This window comes from Homo sapiens, chromosome 19, assembly GCF_000001405.40.
Source record: "Homo sapiens chromosome 19, GRCh38.p14 Primary Assembly".
NCBI lineage: Eukaryota > Metazoa > Chordata > Mammalia > Primates > Hominidae > Homo > Homo sapiens.
Window position 1 is genome coordinate 12,749,493 of NC_000019.10, and position 17,894 is coordinate 12,767,386.

Here is a 17,894-nt window from a genome sequence, read left to right on the forward strand (position 1 = left end):
ACAAAAATTAGTCAGGCGTGGTGGTGCCCACCTATAATCCCAGCTACTTGCGAGGCTGAGGCAGGAGAATCACTTGAACCTGGGAGGCAGAGGTTGCACTGAGCCGAGATTGCGCCATTGCACTCCAGCCTGGGCAATAAAGTGAGACTCCGTCTCAAAAAAAAAGTGTTCAGACCCAGAGTCTGGGTGTGCCAGGGTGTGTGTGTAAGGGGAACCCCACCAGGAGCCTAGACTTGTCACTCCAACTCCCTGGGGTGTGCACAAGCAGGTGTGGGCCTGTTGGGGTGGCATGTGTAAACAAACACGATGGTACAGCCGGCTCCGCGCCAAACTGCCAGGATCCAAATCCCAGCTGTGCTACGAACAAGATGAGATGTGACATCGGAGCCTCAGTTTCCCTACTTAGATAGTAAGATGACCAACTTAGCATGCCCGTAAGGATTCCATGAGATGAAACACGCAAGGCGTTTATACCAGCACCAGACAGGAAACCGCAAGAAATGTTTGTTATTTTTCGTTGTCACAATTAGTAAGCATATCAAATAGCCCAGGAAGCCTGCCCCCAGCCCCTGCGGGAATTCAGCAGTCGGAAGTGTGTGGGGATGCGGGTGAGCTGGGGTAGGGAGGATGAAAAGGAGGAGCGGGCTTCAGTGAATGCAAGGACACTTCCTAGGGAGTGAGGGCTGCTGATCGAGAACTGAGCTCATCAGCACCGAGCCTGCCACCGCCTTGCCAGGTTCCGCAGCTGACGGCACCGCCCCAGCTGCCCCCTCGCCCCCATTTATGGGCTGTCCGGCAGCTGGACAGCGAAGGCATGGGTCACAGGGTGACCAGCCCAGGCGGGTTCCTAATTACTCCGGGCAGGGTGAACATCTGCCAGTCTGGGAACACGGCGTCCCAGCCTGCTGGGCTTGGAACCTCGGGCGGGGCTATGTAGAATGCACGAGGGGCTCCTGAGCACTCTAGGATGCCCATCCCAGGGTTTGACCCCTGAACTTCTGCCCCTCCCACACCAATCTGTGTGTTAATGTTCTTCAGGCTGGGCAATGGAGGGGGAGTGGGTACTGTTTGTACCAGGCTGGGAGTGTCCCCTTTAGAGGTGTGTCTGTGAAGAATGAACATCTGCCCAGAATCCATGCCAAATGCAGGACAAGGTTTTGTGTCCCCAAGCTTGTGTGTTCATGGCAATGCTGAGAGTATCTGAGACCTGTGGGTGTGGGTGTGGGCCTGCCGCCGGGAGGGAGCGTTGGAAAGGGGGTTGCCTTCACATATTGGTGTACAAATGCTGGTGAATTTCACCAGCGGTGATAGCTAGGGGACCCTTGAGGGAGGGGTGGCTGTTGTGTGTGTCTTTGCAAGATTGGTGAACCTCAGGCCCCGCTCTGAGCCTGGGATTGTGTGCCACCGCACTGAGGAAAGGGTTTTTGCATTTGGTGTGTGATCATGGCTGCATCTTTGCACAGGGAAGATCGGGAGTAAAACCTCCTTGCAGTGGAGTATGACTGTGTGTGTGAAGGCATTCTGAGGTCTGGGTGGGGTCTGGCACTTGGCTGGTTGTGTGGGTGTCTTTGTTACATGGCGTGATCATGACGGAATTCAGACCGTTGGGAGAGCCGTGTGTATGAAAGAGGAGAGCCTAGTATGTCAGGGTCCACCTGCCTTATATATGCGTGATGGAGGCAGGAGGGGTCGAGGTAGGTGTGTCTTGTGTGACCCTGGAAGGTTCTGTGACAGTGTGTACTGCTCCTCTGGGTAACCATAGTTATGTGAGGCTGTCTTTTTGTTTTTTCAATAGAGATGGGGATCTCCCTATGTTGCCCAGGCTGGTCTCGAACTCCTGGCTCAAGTGATCCTCCCACCTAAGCCTCCCAAAGTGCTAAAATTACAAGTGTGAGCCATCGTGCCTGGCTGAGGCTGTCTTAAGAGCAGCTAGATTTGCTTCTGGGACTATGATGTGTGTTTCTGCGTGCATCTCTGTGACACTGTGTGATTACAGGTGACTGTGAAGTGACCCAGCCTCACTGAGCAGTGTGTGTGTTTCTGGGACTGGGAAAAAGACCATCCCTGCCTCCTCCCCCAACCTCTGGGTTCCAGATCCCTAGGACCTGCCAGTGAGCGACTGGGAGGGGAACAGGGAGGGGCGAGGGAGGACAAGGCGGATTTCTCCCCCCGTACCAGGTAACAAACTTGTGGGACTCCAAACAAAATTCTGAAGCTACAGCCTAGCCGAGGGAGGAGGACCAGGAAAGGGAGGCACGCCCACTCCCCAGCCCCACCCAACGCCAAAGCCACCCGCCCATTCCATCCCTGTCCCTGTGGGTCCTTGCACCGGCCACCTTCAACACAGGTGAGATGAGCCCAGGCTTGGGGAAATAGGGGGCCCTGAGGGAAGAGGGAACCTGCGGGCAGGAATGCATCCGGAGTCCTCCCGGGGCGGGGAGTGGAGGGCTTGGAAGGCTGGAGGGGAACGGAGAGAGGAAAGGTCAAGGCGGATCCGGGAGGAAAAGGGAGTGGGGGGAGCCAGGGCAATTAAGCAGAAGGTGCACAGGCTGGGGCAGGGGGGCTAGGGGACCTGGAGGCTTAGGGACAGGGCTTCAGAGGGAGTGCAGGGAGCAGAATGGGTCAAGACTGGGAGCTGGGGAAGTGGAGAAGGGGGAGCCAGAAATAGGGGCTGAGGGAGAGAATTTGGGAGAGGTGGAGCCTTGAGAACCTAGAAACTCAGGTGCTGGGGACTTGCGGAATGGGGCATGCTACAGGTGGCCTCTGGGTGAAGGGGATCGGGCAGAGGGTGACTCGGGAGCTGACTGCAGGGACTCAAGGGTCTTGGTGGTGGGGGACGGCAGTTACCAGAGCCCACGGCCAGGAGTCCAGGGAAGGGGACAGCCTGAGATGAAGGTCAGGGAGGGGCACTGGGGGCTGGACTAGACTGAGTAAAGCTGGGAGGAGAAGGCAACTCAGGCAAGGGTCAGGACTGAAGGGGTGGCGGGCCGGAACATGGGTGGAATCCCTGTGCTCAGTTATCCCCGCACCTCTCCACCCACACCCGCAGCCCCCACCCGGGCCACCCACTCTCCCTTGGCCACACCTGCCGGGTGCCACGATGACCGTCACCTACACAGCCCGAGTGGCGAACGCCCGCTTCGGTGGCTTCTCCCAGCTGCTGCTACTGTGGCGTGGGAGCATCTACAAACTCCTGTGGCGAGAGCTGCTCTGCTTCCTTGGGTTCTACATGGCGCTGAGTGCTGCCTACCGGTGAGGCTGCCCTGAGGTGCTCATGTTCTAGCGGAGGGGGGGCAGCTATTATATATATATAATATATAAAAATTATAAAAATATAGAGATATATAAGTATATATATCTATGTTTTTTAAACTGAGATGGAGTCTCACTCTGTCACCCAGGCTGGAGTGCAGTGGCATAATCTTCTCTTACTTCCACCTCTGCCTCCCGGGTTCAAGCGATTCTCCTGCCTCAGCCTCCCGAGTAGCTGGGATTATGGGTGCCAGCCACCATGCCTGGCTAATTTTTTTGTATTTTTAGTAGAGATGGGGTTTCACCGTGTTGACCAGGCTGGTCTCAAACTTCTGACCTCAAGTGATCCTCCTGCCTCGGCCTCCCAAAGTGCTGGGATTACAGGTGTGACCCATAGCACCCGGCTGGGGGCAGCTATTATAAAAGAAGCCAGGGTGAGGGGCACAGCAAGAGAGATCTGAAGCTGGGGATGGAGTCACCCTTGTGACCTGTGACCCCTCATCTCTATCCCGCAGCTTTGTGCTGACCGAAGGGCAGAAGCGCTACTTCGAGAAGCTTGTGATTTATTGTGACCAGTATGCCAGCCTCATCCCTGTCTCCTTCGTGCTTGGTGCGGTCCAACCCCAAGTCCCCCGTTCCCATGTCCCTGAGAAACCCATATCCATTCATGCCTTTTGAGGAGCCCCCATTCCTGCCCCTCTGAGATCCCCCCCCTCAAATCCAACCCCGACAGCACTGCCCACCCATTTTTGGATCCATATCATGAAGATGCCAGATGTGGCTCTACACTCTGAGACCTGGGGTGTCACCTGGGGTCACAGTGCCCCCTGAGGTGCCCCCAGGAGAGCTCCATCTCACACACAGGACTTATTCCTGGTCACCCTGGGGATTCTCACCAGTGTCTGTTGTGTTATTAGGGGGGACAAACCCCTAACCCTCCAGGGACCCCATAGGACTCCATCCTCTCAATTCCAGCCTGGGGGCATTTCTCTGACAAGTCTTGGACCCCTAGTGACCACAAGTGACCCTAGCCTGCCCAAGGCTCCCTGATGTAGACCCTGTCCCCAACCCCTTCAGAAGTTCCTGGCTCAGGGGCCGGGTGTGGCTACTGTGACAAGCCTGACCAGATGTCTCTGATGTACACCCCCACAAACCAGGCCCCTCTCCCCTTGTTTTAGGTCCCTATGCCTTCACAGCAAGCAACAGTCTGCCCACGTGCCCCTAACATGGGCTCTGTGCCTCTATCCCCATACTGGGATCCCAATGTCACATCTGAGGTGACTCCCAAGTAGCCAGTGACCCAAAGGGCTGCTCTGCCTTTTTTTTTTTTTTTTTTTTTTTTTTTTTTTGAGATGGAGTCTCGCTCTGTTGCCCAAGCTGGAGTGCAATGGTGCGATCTCAGCTCACTGCAACCTCCGCCTCCCGGGTTCAAGTGATTCTTCTGCCTCAGCCTCCTGAATAGCTGAGACTACAGGTGCGCCACCATGCCCGGCTAATTTTTGTATTTTTAGTAGAGACGGAGTTTCACCATGCTGGTCAGGCTGGTCTCAAACTCCTGACCTCATGATCCACCCTCCTCAGCCTCCCAAGGAGCTGGGATTACAGGCGTGAGCCACCGCGCCCGGCAACTGTCCTTTCTGACCTCAGGGCTGGACCCCCAAGTTCCCAGCCCAAACGTGGTCAGGTTGGCCAGCACGCTCGGGTTTCCCTGATGCAGACCTTACGTTGCCCCCTCTCCCACAACCTGGGCCCCCAAACCCCTGGCCCTGGTGTCCCCACTGAGCCCCCATTCCCCGCTCCCCTGCAGGCTTTTATGTGACGCTGGTGGTGAACCGCTGGTGGAGCCAGTACCTATGCATGCCGCTGCCCGACGCGCTCATGTGCGTGGTGGCGGGCACCGTGCACGGACGCGACGACCGCGGCCGCCTCTACCGGCGCACACTCATGCGCTACGCAGGGCTCTCGGCCGTGCTCATCCTGCGCTCCGTCAGCACCGCGGTGTTCAAGCGCTTCCCCACCATAGACCACGTGGTGGAGGCTGGTGAGTACTCGGCCAGAGGCAGGGCAGAGACCGGGCAAGGACCAGGTGGAGGGGGGCAAGGGGCGAGCTATCCCTGACCCCTTTCCTCCAGGGTTTATGACCCGCGAGGAGCGCAAGAAGTTTGAAAACCTGAACTCATCCTACAACAAGTACTGGGTGCCCTGCGTCTGGTTCTCCAACCTGGCGGCACAGGCCCGACGCGAGGGCCGCATCCGCGACAACAGCGCCCTTAAGCTGCTGCTCGAGGTGGGCCCAACCAGGAGGTCATTCATATAGAATACCAGGGAAATTGTACCCCTGGAGCTGTGTCAACGGCGGCCCTCCAAGCACCCCCACGAGGCCGATTTCAAACACCCTCACCAGGTGCACTCTTACCTCCATGGGGCTGATTCCAATGCCCTTGAGGGGCAGCTCCTGGGTGCATGGTACCTCATCCAGGTGCACACTCACCACCAAATACCCTCCCTGGAACCCCCAAAGCACACTCCCAATTCCCACCAGGTGACCACCCACCTCCATCCCACGTACCTACACTTAATATCCCTGTGTGAGCTCACCATTCAGGCCTCCTCATGACCTGTATCCACCCCCAGGAGCTGAATGTTTTTCGGGGCAAATGTGGAATGCTCTTTCACTATGACTGGATTAGCGTACCCCTCGTGTACACGCAGGTAACCCCATCATGCCTCTTTTTATATTCGGTGTCAGTGGCCCTGATGCCTGGTTTCCAAGGGGAAACCAAGAACTAGCTAAGACCCCCATCATAATGATGCCTAATCCTAGCCTTGGACCCCAATGACCCCCCTGAGCCCTGCCCCGCCCTGCCCAGGTGGTGACCATCGCACTGTACAGCTACTTCCTGGCTTGCCTCATTGGTCGCCAGTTCCTGGACCCGGCTCAGGGTTACAAAGACCACGACCTAGACCTGTGTGTGCCCATCTTCACCCTCTTGCAGTTCTTCTTCTACGCCGGCTGGCTCAAGGTAGGTGGGTGATCCAGGCTGGAATTTCGTGGGTGGGGCGGGCATGGGGTTCCCAAGTTTCCACCTAACTGCTCCCTCTCCTCTCAGGTAGCTGAGCAGCTCATCAACCCCTTCGGAGAGGACGATGATGACTTTGAGACCAACTTTCTGATCGATAGAAACTTCCAGGTGAGACTCAGTTTCCAGGTGAGACTTCCAGGTGGCGACCATCCCGGAGTGCCCAACAGGGTTCTGGTCCCACCCCTGCCAAGTCTTGCCAGGTCTCACCCCAACCATCCTTCCCTCTGTGGTCCCCACCCACCCGAAGGGGTCCACCCTGTGGTCCCGGCGGGTTGCCCTGCCCCCACTTTACCCTGTGTGTTTGCACCCGTAGGTGTCCATGCTGGCAGTGGACGAGATGTATGATGACCTGGCTGTGCTGGAGAAGGACTTGTACTGGGATGCAGCCGAGGCTCGCGCCCCATACACAGCGGCTACTGTCTTCCAGCTGCGGCAGCCTTCCTTCCAGGGCTCCACCTTTGACATCACGTGAGCCAGTTGGGTGGGCAGGGCCGCCTGGGGCAGGGCTTATGGCTCTGCGGGGCACATCTGATTGAAAAGGTTAAGTGGAATCAATTCTGGAGATGGGGATAAGAGCTAAAGTCTCAGGACTGTGATAACGCCAGAAGCTAAGATAGGAGTCAGGGGACAAGGTCAAGGTCTGAGACTGGGCCACTGACTGGGGACAGAGCTAAGGGCTGAGGTCAGCGAGGATCAGACCGGTCAGTGGTGATTCCAAAGGAGATGAGGGCTGAGGCCAGGAGCACTGGCTCACGCCTGTAATCCCAGTACTTTGGGAGGCTGAGGCAGGAGGATCCTTTGAGCAAGCCCAGGAGTTCAGACCAGCCTGGGCAACATAGTGAGACCCCCGTCTCTACTAAAAATAAAAAATTAGCCAAGCGTGGTGGTGCACGCCTGTAGTCCCAGCTATTCAGGGGCTGAGGTGGGAGGATTGCTTGAGTCGAGGAGTTCGAGGCTGCAGTGAGCCATAATGACACCACTGCACTCCAGCCTGGGCAACAGAGCAAGAGCCTGTCTCAAAAAATGAAAATAAAGGCCAGGCGCAGTGGCTTATGCCTGTAATCCCAGCACTTTGGGAGGCCAAGGCAGGTGGATCACTTGAGGTCAGGAGTTCGAGACCAGCCTGGCCAACATAGTGAAACCCTGTCTCTACTAAAAATACAAAATTAGCCGGGCTTGGTGGCTCACGCCTGTAATCCCAGCTAATCGGGAGGCTGAGGCAGGAGAATCACTTGAACCTGGGAGGCAGAGGTTGCAGTGAGCCGAGATTGCGCCATTGCACTCCAGCCTGGGCCACAAGAGTAAAACTGCATTTCAAAACATAAAAATAGGCCGGGTGCGGTGGCTCACGCCAAGGTGGGCAGATCACGAGGTCAGGGGTTAGAGACTAGCCTGGCCAACATGGTGAAACCCCATCTCTACTAAAAATACAAAAATTAGCCGGTGTGGTGGCACGCACCTGTAGTCGCAGGTACTCAGGAGGCTGAGACAGGAGAATCGCTTGAACCCGGGAGGCGAAGGTTGTGGTGAGCCGAGATTGCGCCACTGTACTCCAGCCTGGGCAACAGAGCGAGACTCCGTCTCAAAATAAAATAAAATAAAATAAAAATAAAAAAGGAAATGGGGCTGAGCCACGACTGAGGTTGAAGATCCAAGTTGAAGTGCAAACACAGGGTGAGGCCAGGCTCTGGGTTTAGGAGCTAAGATCTTTGGGGATAAGTGGGACAAAGCGGTGGGTGGAGTCAGGGAAATCAGCGCGCCTGGGACCCTGCTCTGTCAACAAGAGGCGAGGCCGCAGCGCTGGCCCACTGTCGGTCCCGCAGGCTGGCCAAAGAAGACATGCAGTTCCAGCGGCTGGACGGCTTGGATGGACCGATGGGAGAGGCGCCCGGCGACTTCCTGCAGCGCCTCCTGCCGGCGGGCGCGGGCATGGTCGCGGGAGGCCCGCTGGGCCGGCGCCTGTCCTTTCTACTCCGCAAGAACAGCTGCGTGTCGGAGGCGTCTACTGGGGCCAGCTGCTCATGCGCGGTTGTCCCCGAAGGCGCGGCCCCGGAGTGCAGCTGCGGGGACCCGCTGCTCGACCCCGGCCTGCCGGAGCCCGAGGCCCCGCCCCCTGCGGGTCCCGAACCGCTTACCCTCATCCCTGGGCCTGTCGAGCCCTTCAGCATCGTGACCATGCCCGGGCCCCGGGGTCCGGCGCCACCCTGGCTGCCCAGCCCTATTGGCGAGGAGGAGGAGAATCTGGCCTGAGATCTTAGAGCCCAGCCCCCTAAGGACAGGGAACCAGGTCCCTGCACGGCACCCACGCAGGTGTCCCGGTCTGCATAAGCCTCGTGTGCCTTTGTAAAGTCCACCTACACTTTTGACCAGCTCTCGCTGCCCGCATGTGTTTGGCGCTGTGCTAGGGGCGGGAGTTCTTCCAGACTCTTGGACCAGCCCGCCCTGACCACCAGCTCTACTTCCCAACCCCCACTGCCTGAGAGGTCTCTATCAGTGTCCTGCCTGAATTCTTTCCTTCAAGTGAAGATGTGACTGACTACCTCCTCGAGTTGTCATGAGGATGAAAGAATGGCATTAAAGCATTTGGTATACAGTAGGTGCTCAATAAATTGCTAGTGATTTTTACTCAAACGTTGTTAGTCTGATTTCTCCTGCCAGACATTATCCATTGTCCTAAGTAAAATTTGGGAGTTCTTGCAGGTTCTTTTTTTTTTTTTTTTTTTTGAGACGGAGTCTCTCTCTGTTGCCCAGCCTGGAGTGCAATGGTGTGATTTCTGCTCACTGCAACCTCTGCCTCCCAGGCCCAAGCAATTCTCCTGCCTTAGCCTCCCAAGTATCTGGGATTACAGGCACGCACCACCACACCCAGCTAACTTTTTTTAATTTTTAGTAGAGAGGGGGGTTTCACCATGTTGGCCAGGCTGGTTTCGAACTCTTGACTTCAGGTGATCCACCCACCTCTGCCCCCCAGAGTGCTGGGATTACAGGCGTGAGCCACCAAGCCCTGCTGCAGGTTTCTTCTTTCTTCTTCTTCCTTCTCCTCCTTCTCGTCTTCCTCCTCCTCCACCACAACCACCAGGCCCAGCTTATTCTAGGTTTTTTTTTTTCCTTTGAGACAGAGTCTCACTTCATCACCCAGGCTGGAGTGCAGTGCCACGATCTTGGGTCACTGCAACCTCCACCTCCCTGGTTCAAGGGATTCTTGTGCCTCAGTCCCCCAAGTAACTGGAATTACAGGTGCGCACCACCACACCTGGCTAATTTTTTGTATTTTTAGTAGAGACGGGGTTTCACCTCTTCCAGGTTTTATGATGGTGCCCTGCTTAATTCTTCCCAAACTCTGCTGTCTGAAACACCCACATCAGTGCCCTGGCATTACTCATTAATGAGCCAGCCACTGTCCCAGGATCATGGGTTCTTCTTGCCTCAAGCCTCTGCATTCTCAGGCCCTCAGGGCTTCAGGTTTTACTAATTTAATATCACACGGACTCCTGATGACTCCTGAATATAAAAGTCCAGCCAAGGCAGTGAGCTCTGGTCATGCCACTGCACTCCAGCCTGGGCAACACAGTGAGACCCTGTCTCAAAAAAAAAAAAAAAAAGAGGCCTGGTGCTGCAGTGGGGCTCACACCTGTAATCCCAGCTGGGAGGTGGAGATGGGTGGATCATTTGAGGTCAGGAGCTGGAGACAGGCCTGGCCAACATGGTGAAAGCCCGTCTCTACTAAAAATACAAAAATTAGCCAGGCGAGGTGGTGGGCACCTATAATCTCAGCTACTCAGAGGTTGAAGCAGGAGAATCGCTTGAACCTGAGAGATGGAGGTTGCAGTGAGATTGTGCCACTGCACTCAAGCCTGGGTGGCAACAGAGTGAGACCCCATCTGAAAAAGAAAAAGGAAGAAAAAGAAATCCAGCCAGGATCCCTTCTCTAACTGTAGACCCAGAAAGCCAACTGCCTCTTGGATGCCTCCTTGCAGAGATGTCACAGACACTTCAAACATAACACACTTGAAATCCAGCTCCTAATCAGCCCCCCAATCTGCCCCACCCTGTGTGTTAGCTTTGTCCTTCCAGGTGATAAGGCCAAAAGAAGTCATGTGGATTCCTATTCCCGCCACAGGCCATCACATCAACCCAGTGGCCACACCAACCCAGCAGCAAATCTTATCAGCTTTGCCTTTATTTTTATTTTATTTATTTATTTGTTTTTGAGACGGAGTTTCGCTCTTGTTGCCCAGGCTGGAGCGCAATGGCGCGATCTCGGCTCACTGCAACCTCCACCTCCCAGGTTCAAGCAATTCTCCTGCCTCAGCCTCCCGAGTAGCTGAGATTACAGGCATGCACCACTACGCCCGGCTAATTTTGTATTTTTAGTAGAGACGGGGTTTCTCCATGTTGGGGCTGGTCTCGAACTCCTGACCTCAGGTGATCCGCCCGCCTCAGCCTCCCAAAGTGCTGGGATTACAGGCGTGAGCCACCGCGCCCGGCCGAGATTTGCCTTTATTTTTATTTTATTTTTGAGACGGAATTTAACTCTTGTCACCAGGCTGGATTGCAATGGCATGATCTTGGCTCACTGCAACCTTCGCCTCCCGGGTTCAAGTGATTCTCCTGCCTCAGCCTCCCAGGTAGCTTGGATTACAGGCGCCCACTACACCCAGCTAATTTTTGTATTTTTAGTAGAGACAGGGTTTCACCATGTTGGCCAGCCAAAGTGCTGGGATCACAGGCGTGAGCCACCGTGCCCTGCCAGCTTTGCCTTTAAATCGTATCTAGAATCCAACCATTTCTCACTCCTCCAGGACCCCAGCCTGGCCAGAGCCCTCACTATCACCCACCCACCCACCTGGACTACCAACCAGGTCTTCAAGCTCTGGCCCTGGCCTCCTAAGCCTGTTTCTCCCAGAGTGGCCACCAGAGGGCGCCTATGAACACCCGAGCCAGGTCACATCCCTCCTTTGCTTAGACTCTTCCGTGGCTCCCACAGCACTTAGAATAAAAGTTAAAGTATTCTCTGCAGCCCACAAGTCCCTGAATAATCTCCCCACCCTCATCTGCTTTCTTTTTCTTTTTCTTTTTTTTTGAGACAGAGTCTCGCTGTATCGCCCAGGCTGGAGTGCCAGTGGAGCCATCTCGGCTCACTGCAAGCAAGCTCCGCCTCCCGGGTTCACGCCATTCTCCTGCCTCAGCCTCCCGAGTAGCTGGGACCACAGGCACCCGCCACCACGCCTGGCTAATTTTTTTGTATTTTTATTTTTATTTATTATTATTATTTTTTTGAGACGGAGTTTTGCTCTTGTTGCCCAGGCTGGAGTGCAATGGCATGATCTCAGCTCACCACAACCTCCGCCTCCCAGATTCATGCGATTCTTGTGCCTCAGCCTCCAGAGTGACTGGGATTACAGGCGTATGCCACCACATCCGGCTAATTTTGTATTTTTTTTTTAGTAGAGACGGCGTTTCTCCATGTTGGTCAGGCTGGTCTCAAACTTCTGACCTCACGTGATCCGCCCGTCTCAGCCTCCCAAAGTGCTGTGATTACAGGCGTGAGCCACTGTGCCCGGCCGCATTTTTTTGTATTTTTAGTAGTGACGGGTTTCACCGTGTTAGCCAGGATGGTCTCGATCTCCTGACCTCGTGATCTGCCTGCCTCTGCCTCCCAAACTGCTGTGATTACAGGCGTGAGCCACTGCACCCGGCCTTCTGCTTTCCTTTTATTTTTTGAGATGGAGTCTTGCTCTATCGCCCAGGCTGGAGTGCAGTGACACAATCTCGGCTCGCTGCAACCTCCGCCTCCCGGGTTCATTCTCCTGCCTCAGCCTCCCGAGTAGCTGGGACTACAGGCACCTGCCACCACGCCCGGCTAATTTTTTTGTATTTTTAGTAGAGACAGGGTTTCACCATGTTAGCCAGGATGGTCTCAATCTCCTGACCTTGTGATCCGCCAGCCTCAGCCTCCTAAAGTGCTGGGATTACAGGCATGAGCGTGAGCCACCACGCCCGGCCTTCTGCTTTCTTATTCACTCCACTCCAGCCACTCTGGTCCCCTTACTGTCCCTCCAGCACACCAAGCGAGGTGTCATCTCAGGGCCTTTGTGCAAACTGTTCTGCCTGGATCTTCCCCAGGTACTTACATGGCCTCTCCCTCACCTCCTTCAGGTATCTGCTTCAATAATGTCACTTCCTTGGTGAGGCCTCCTTTCTGGGCCTTTTTATTCTTTTTTTTTTTCGATGGGGTCTCACTCTTGTTGCCCAGGCTGCAGCAAGCTATGATTGTTCCACAGTGGTGGCTCACTCTGGTAACTCTGGGCACCAAGGTGAGGGAGATAAAGTGGGCCAGGGTTTAGCCCACTGCTTTTAAGAAAAGCTTAGTGGCCAGGCGTGGTGGCTCACTCCTGTAACCCCAGCACTTTAGGAGGCTGAGGTGGGCGGATCATCTGAGGTCAGGAGTTCAAGAACACCCTGGCCAACATGGTGAAACCCCGTCTCTACTAACAATGCAAAAATTAGCCAGTCGTGGTGGCATGCGCAGGTGGTCCCAGCTACTCAGGAGGCTGAAGCAGGAAAATCCCTTGAACCCAGGAGGCAGAGGCTGCAGTGAGCCAAGATCGTGCCACTGCACTCCAGCCTGGGCGACAGAGTGAGACTCCATCTCAAAAAAAAAAAAAAAAAAAAGCAACAACAACCAAAAAACAAAACCACCACACATTCACAGACACACAAACGTGATCCTCACCTACCTCTGGTTGGTGCTATTGGTCACTCACATTTTAGTAAGAATGCAAGCCAAGCTTTTCTTTCTTTTTCTTTTTGAGATGGAGTCTTGCTCTGTTGTCCAGGCTGGAGTGCAATGGCATGATCTCAGCTCACTACAACCTCTGTTTCCCAGGTTCAAGCGATTCTCCCACCTCAGCCTCCCGAGTAGCTGGGATTACAGGCATGTACCACCATGCCCTGCTAATTTTTGTATTTTTAGTAGAGGAGGGGTTTTGCCATGTTGGCCAGGCTGGTCTCAAACTCCTGACCTCAGGTGATCCACCCGCCTCAGCCTCCCAAAGTGCTGGGGTTACAGGCGTGAGCCACCGTACCTGGCCGCTAAGCTTTTCTTAAAAGCAATGGGCTAAGCCTCTGGCCCACTTTCTCTCCCTCACCTTGGTGCCCAGAGCACAGCCAGGGCAGATTGAACGCCTTTATTTTTCTCAAATATAAAATCAGAGTCTCCTGAGGCAGCACATGAACTCCAGAGAGAGAATCAACAACAAGAATCACATTGCTAAAAAGAACAGGCCTATATCTACCTCCCGCCCTCCCTCCCCACCAATCTGGGAGAGGGAAGAGCAGAGATCATGGCCTCAAAGCTCTCGAGCACCTGGCTGAAGCCCAGTGCTGGGCGCCATGTGAGCTGGAGGAAGCCAGGGTGGGTGGAGCCCAGGCTGGCTTGATTGTGAGGTCTGTCAGTGCTTGTCAGTGGGGCGAAGGTTCAGAGATGCCAGGCGTCCCAAGGGTCCACGGCGAGAATTGGTTGCCAGCCGCTGCTGTGCCAGGAATGACTGGGCATGGGCAGGCGCCCGCTCCTCCCCAGCTCGCTGCTGCAAGGCCATGCCCTTCAGGAGGAGGTGTGGTTGGGGTCAGGTGAGCTCACAGGACCCCCCCACCAATATTCTACCCATGAGATCTTAGAGCCCAGACCCCACACTTACCATATTATACCAGGCACTGATGAGCAGCTTTTCTTCCTGCTCCCGCTGACTTCGGCTTTTCTCAAAGTCCATCTGTCAAGGAGGCAAGTGTCAGGGGCCTAGATACGTTGGAGGCAGCGTAAAGGGACGAGGACACCCACCTCCAGGTGTCGGATGCGGACATCCCGTTCTCGGAGCTGTGTCCTCAGGGAATGGAGTTCTGGAGGTGCCCCCGCAGCTGGCCGCTGCTTGGGTTCCATGGTCTGCATGACCTACAGGTTGAGGAAGTCATAGCCAGGTGACTTTGGCCTTGAAACCCCCTGGGACATACTGGGGTGTGTGTATTCATTCATTCTTTCATTCATTATAGAGACAGAGTCCCCCTATGTTGCCCAGGATGGTCTTGAACTCCTGGCATCAAGCAATTCTCCTGCCTTAGCCTCCCAAAGTGTTGAGGTTACAAGCATGAGCCATTGTGCCCATCCAGCCAGTACTTTATTTTTACTTTATTTTTATTTTTATTTTTGTGATGGAGTCTGGCTCTGTTGCCCAGCCTGGAGTGAAGTGGCGCACTCTCAGCTCACTGCAACTTTTGCCTCCCGGGTTCAAGTGATTCTCCTGCCTCAGCCTCCCGAGTAGCTGGGATTACAGGCGCATGTTACCAATCCCGCCTAATTTTTCTATTTTTCGTAGAGACGGGGTTTCGCCATGTTGGCCAGGCTGCTCTCGAACTCCTGACCTCAAGGGATCAGCTGCTTCAGCCTCCCAAAGTGCTGGGATTAGCGGCGTGAGCCACTGCGCCTGGCTGTGCGTAATTTTTTTTTTTTTTTTTTTTTTTTTTGAGATGGACTCTTGCCCTGTCGCCTAGGCTGGAGCGCAGTGGCACAATCTCAGCTAACTGCAACCTCCGCCTCCCGGGTTCAAATGATTTTCCTGCCTCAGCCTCCTGAGTAGCTGGGATTACAGGCACCCACCACCATGCCCAGCTAATTTTTGTATTTTTAGTAGAGATGGGGTTTCACCATGTTGGCCAGGCTGGTCTCAAACTCCTGACCTCATGTTCCGCCTGCCTTGACCTCCCAAAGTGCTGGGATTACAGCCATGAGCCACGGCACCCAGCCAGCTGTGCAGTATTTTAATGTGACAATCAGTAGCAGTGGGGAATCATGCAGAAGTCTGTCTTATGGTGGGGTATGACAGGTATGAGTTGGGGGCACAGATGTGCAAGCAGGAGGTTTGACTCAATAGGAGGCACAAAAAGTAAGAAGCCAGGGCAGGCAACTTGTGGGAACACCCAGCGTCCTCACCATGCGGGCCTTGTCCACGTAGCGGCGGTATCGCTCCTCCATGGCCCGCAAGTCCGCGTCCTTCTTCTGCAAGTTATGCTGCAGCTCCTCGATCCGCCGGGCTGCTGGCGGAAGAGGTGGCCCATCAGCTCCACGCTGCTGGGCTCTGGGATCTCCCCACCCTCTGGTCACTAGGTCCTACTTACTGCTGCTGTCAGTGGGTGGCTCCAGCTCCTCAATGTACTCCCGCTTCCTCTGCAACTCCAGATCTGCCTCATGAAGCTTCTGCCTGTGGGCCGGGGATGAGCAGCAGTGGGCTGACCTCCGGGCTGGCTTCTCTTTTGTCCCAGTGGTAGCCACAGACCTCCCCGCCAGCCAGAAATGCCCCTACATGGCCACAGAGCCCTCTCTGCCTGCCCCTCATGCCTGGGGCTGTGTGCCCTGGTCCCACCGGCTCCACAGCTGTCAGAGCCACAACCCTCCGCACCCTTAGCAGGTATGCCCCGGAACAGCCCCTGCTGTCCACTTCTTCCCATCCCACAGCTCCCAAGCTGGTTCAGCCACCATCTTCCCTTGCTAGCTTCTTCTACTCTCAAGCACTCCATCCAGCAGCCAGGGATCTTTCTAGAATACAAATCTCTTCAATAGCAGACAGGTAAAAGAAAAGAAAGCAGGCCAGGCGCGGTGGCTCATGCCTGTAATCCCAGCACTTTGGGAGGCCAAAGCGGGTGGATCATCTGGGGTCAGGAGTCCGAGACCAGCCTGGCCAACATAGTGAAACCCCGTCTCTACTAAAAATATAAAAAATCAGCCAGGCATGGTGGCACATGCCTAAGAAACTCCCCACTAATATCAAATCCATGCCCCCACGAGGAGTTCCCTCTTTCTGCGACTTACAAATGTTCCTCCAGCTTCCTTTTCAGCAAAATGGACTGGGAGAGAGAAGAGGCAAGGTGAGTGGGGGATCCAGAGAGGCCCTAATTCTTCCTTCCCAGGGTGAGGGTAGGGGGTGCCATCCTGGGCCCATGGTACTTACAATGGCCTGTATGGGGCATCGGGCAGCATGGGAGAGAGAGGAGGGTTACTTCGGGGCACAAGGGAGGGCCAGGCTGGGAGGTGGTGGGTGACACTCACATCTTCAGTCTTGCCCCCCTGCTCCTGCAGGGCTTTCTGCAGGTCCTCCACCTGGGCCCGCAGCTCGGATAGCTGCTGCTGGTTCAGCCTGCGAGGGTGGGGGGCCGCTTAGTGCCTGTGCCCACTTTTGGCCCCCTCTGTCCCTGCTCCGCGCAGGTAGGTCCCCAGGCGCTCACCGGTGCTGCGTCTCCAACCCGTGGCGCGCGCGGTTGGCATCCTCCAGGTGGCGCTGCAGCTCCTCCTGCCGCTCCCGGTCGGCCGCCTCCTGCCTGCACAGCCGCTTGTTCTCCAGCTGAAGCCGCAGGAGCGTCTCCCTGCAGACCCGGGAGGAGAGAGCAGGGCCAGGGTCGAGTCACCTCGCAGGCTCGCTGGGGCTCAGGGAGAGTGGAGCTAGGGGCGGGACAGAGCCCTGGGGAAGAGCCCAGCCAGACCATGGGGTTGGAGCACCGAGGACCTACTACGGGTTCAGGTTCCCGGCCCAGGGTTAAAGTGGACGGAGCTCTAAGCTGGGATAGTGGGTGGGGCTAGGCAGGGGCGGAGCTACAAGAGTGGATTCGAACAGCTGGGATGGGACTGCTGGAAAGCGGGAAGCAGAAATGGGAAGAACTAGGATGGGACAGTTTTTCGGGGTTTTTTTGTTTGTTTGTTTGGTTAGTTTTGGCTTTTTGTTTGTTTGAGATGGAGTCTCGCTCTGTCGCCCAGGCTGGAATACAGTGGCGCGATCTCGGCTCACTGCAACCTCTGCCTCCCAGGTTCAAGCGATTCTCCTGCCCCAACCTCCCGAGTAGCTGGGACTACAGGTGCGTGCCACCACACCCGGCTAATTTTTTGTATTTTTAGTAGAGACGGGGTTTCACCGTGTTAGCCAGGATGGTCTCGATCTCCTGACCTTGTGATCCGCTCGCCTTGGCCTCCCGAAGTGCTGGGATTACAGGCGTGAGCCACCGCGCCCGGTCGTTTTTCGGGTTTTTAAATCATTTTTATTTTGTAGAGAGGGCCACTATGTTGCCCAAGCTGCTCTCAAACTCCTGGGCTCAAGTGATCCTCCAGCTTCGGCCTTCCAAAGTGCTGGGACTTAGAGGCATGATCCACCGTGCCTGGCCCGGGGTGGGAGAGTTAATCCCGGCAGGGCACAGGGGACTGAAACTCACAGAGGTTACACTAACAGGGGTGGACGCTGGGGGAAAGGATCAAAGTCAGCGGGGCTAGGGCATAGGATTTTTGTGCAGGAACTGGAGCCAGGTGTTGGACATAATTTGTGTACTAAGGATAGACCCTTGAGAGGCAAAGTCATCTGGTAGGGCTGGACAGAGCCAAATCAGGAGTAAGTGGGCCTAGGAGCCCGGCTGGCACCTGGAGCTGAGACCAAGCAACCGGGGCTAGCAGAAGATGGGAGGGCGGGAGCGGGGCTGAGGGCGGGCCTTGGCAAGCCTGGGTGGGGCCAGAGTTTTGAGTGACCC

General features: G+C 55.5%; 2 protein-coding genes across 10 annotated transcripts in view, besides 3 other annotated features; one reads left to right on the plus strand and one right to left on the minus strand.

Moving 5' to 3' along the window:
• Positions 2,299-8,966, plus strand: BEST2 (bestrophin 2). The gene is made up of 10 exons (NM_017682.3): positions 2,299-2,347; positions 3,050-3,252; positions 3,768-3,862; positions 5,060-5,293; positions 5,385-5,539; positions 5,887-5,964; positions 6,123-6,275; positions 6,363-6,443; positions 6,649-6,803; positions 8,159-8,966. Exons 2-10 carry the CDS (start codon positions 3,101-3,103, stop codon positions 8,583-8,585), a joined length of 1,530 nt encoding a protein of 509 aa, NP_060152.2. The 5' UTR covers positions 2,299-2,347; positions 3,050-3,100; the 3' UTR covers positions 8,586-8,966.
• Positions 8,018-8,077: a silencer, noted in NCBI's record as "silent region_10165". NCBI's record gives its function as "represses an Ori minimal core promoter by ATAC-STARR-seq in GM12878 lymphoblastoid cells {active_cell/tissue: GM12878}" and the evidence as "EXISTENCE:reporter gene assay evidence [ECO:0000049][PMID:35858748]".
• Positions 8,158-8,557: a silencer, noted in NCBI's record as "silent region_10166". NCBI's record gives its function as "represses an Ori minimal core promoter by ATAC-STARR-seq in GM12878 lymphoblastoid cells {active_cell/tissue: GM12878}" and the evidence as "EXISTENCE:reporter gene assay evidence [ECO:0000049][PMID:35858748]".
• A 4,544-nt stretch (positions 8,967-13,510) lies between the features above and the next one.
• Positions 13,511-17,894, minus strand: part of HOOK2 (hook microtubule tethering protein 2) — a 29,348-nt gene continuing 24,964 nt past the window's right edge. For 8 of the 9 annotated variants that reach the window (NM_001400043.1, NM_001400044.1, NM_001400045.1 and 5 more), the window contains exons 15-22: positions 16,611-16,748; positions 16,435-16,522; positions 16,198-16,232; positions 15,507-15,589; positions 15,322-15,425; positions 14,176-14,286; positions 14,036-14,107; positions 13,511-13,939 (exon numbers count right to left, since the gene is read on the minus strand). In NM_001400043.1, the coding sequence (NP_001386972.1) occupies positions 13,790-13,939; positions 14,036-14,107; positions 14,176-14,286; positions 15,322-15,425; positions 15,507-15,589; positions 16,198-16,232; positions 16,435-16,522; positions 16,611-16,748 (781 nt within the window). In that variant the 3' untranslated portion in view covers positions 13,511-13,789. Of the gene's footprint in view, positions 13,940-14,035; positions 14,108-14,175; positions 14,287-15,321; positions 15,426-15,506; positions 15,590-16,197; positions 16,233-16,336; positions 16,343-16,434; positions 16,523-16,610; positions 16,749-17,894 lie in introns of all 9 variants that reach the window. The other variant, NM_013312.3, reaches the window with a different exon arrangement.
• Positions 16,037-16,582: an enhancer, noted in NCBI's record as "H3K4me1 hESC enhancer chr19:12876343-12876888 (GRCh37/hg19 assembly coordinates)". NCBI's record gives its function as "activates a minimal SCP1, AML or CMV promoter by ChIP-STARR-seq in naive H9 embryonic stem cells {active_cell/tissue: H9 hESC(naive)}" and the evidence as "EXISTENCE:reporter gene assay evidence [ECO:0000049][PMID:30033119]".

What these genes read in the sequence shown, in the direction of transcription:
- BEST2 (NM_017682.3), top strand. Translation starts at nt 3,101, where the DNA reads ATGACCGTCACCTACACAGCCCGAGTGGCGAACGCCCGCTTCGGTGGC. An exon ending in CCCTTAAGCTGCTGCTCGAG is followed by an intron (nt 5,540 to 5,886) that starts GTGGGCCCAACC and finishes ATCCACCCCCAG; the next exon opens with GAGCTGAATGTTTTTCGGGG. An exon ending in TGATCGATAGAAACTTCCAG is followed by an intron (nt 6,444 to 6,648) that starts GTGAGACTCAGT and finishes TTGCACCCGTAG; the next exon opens with GTGTCCATGCTGGCAGTGGA.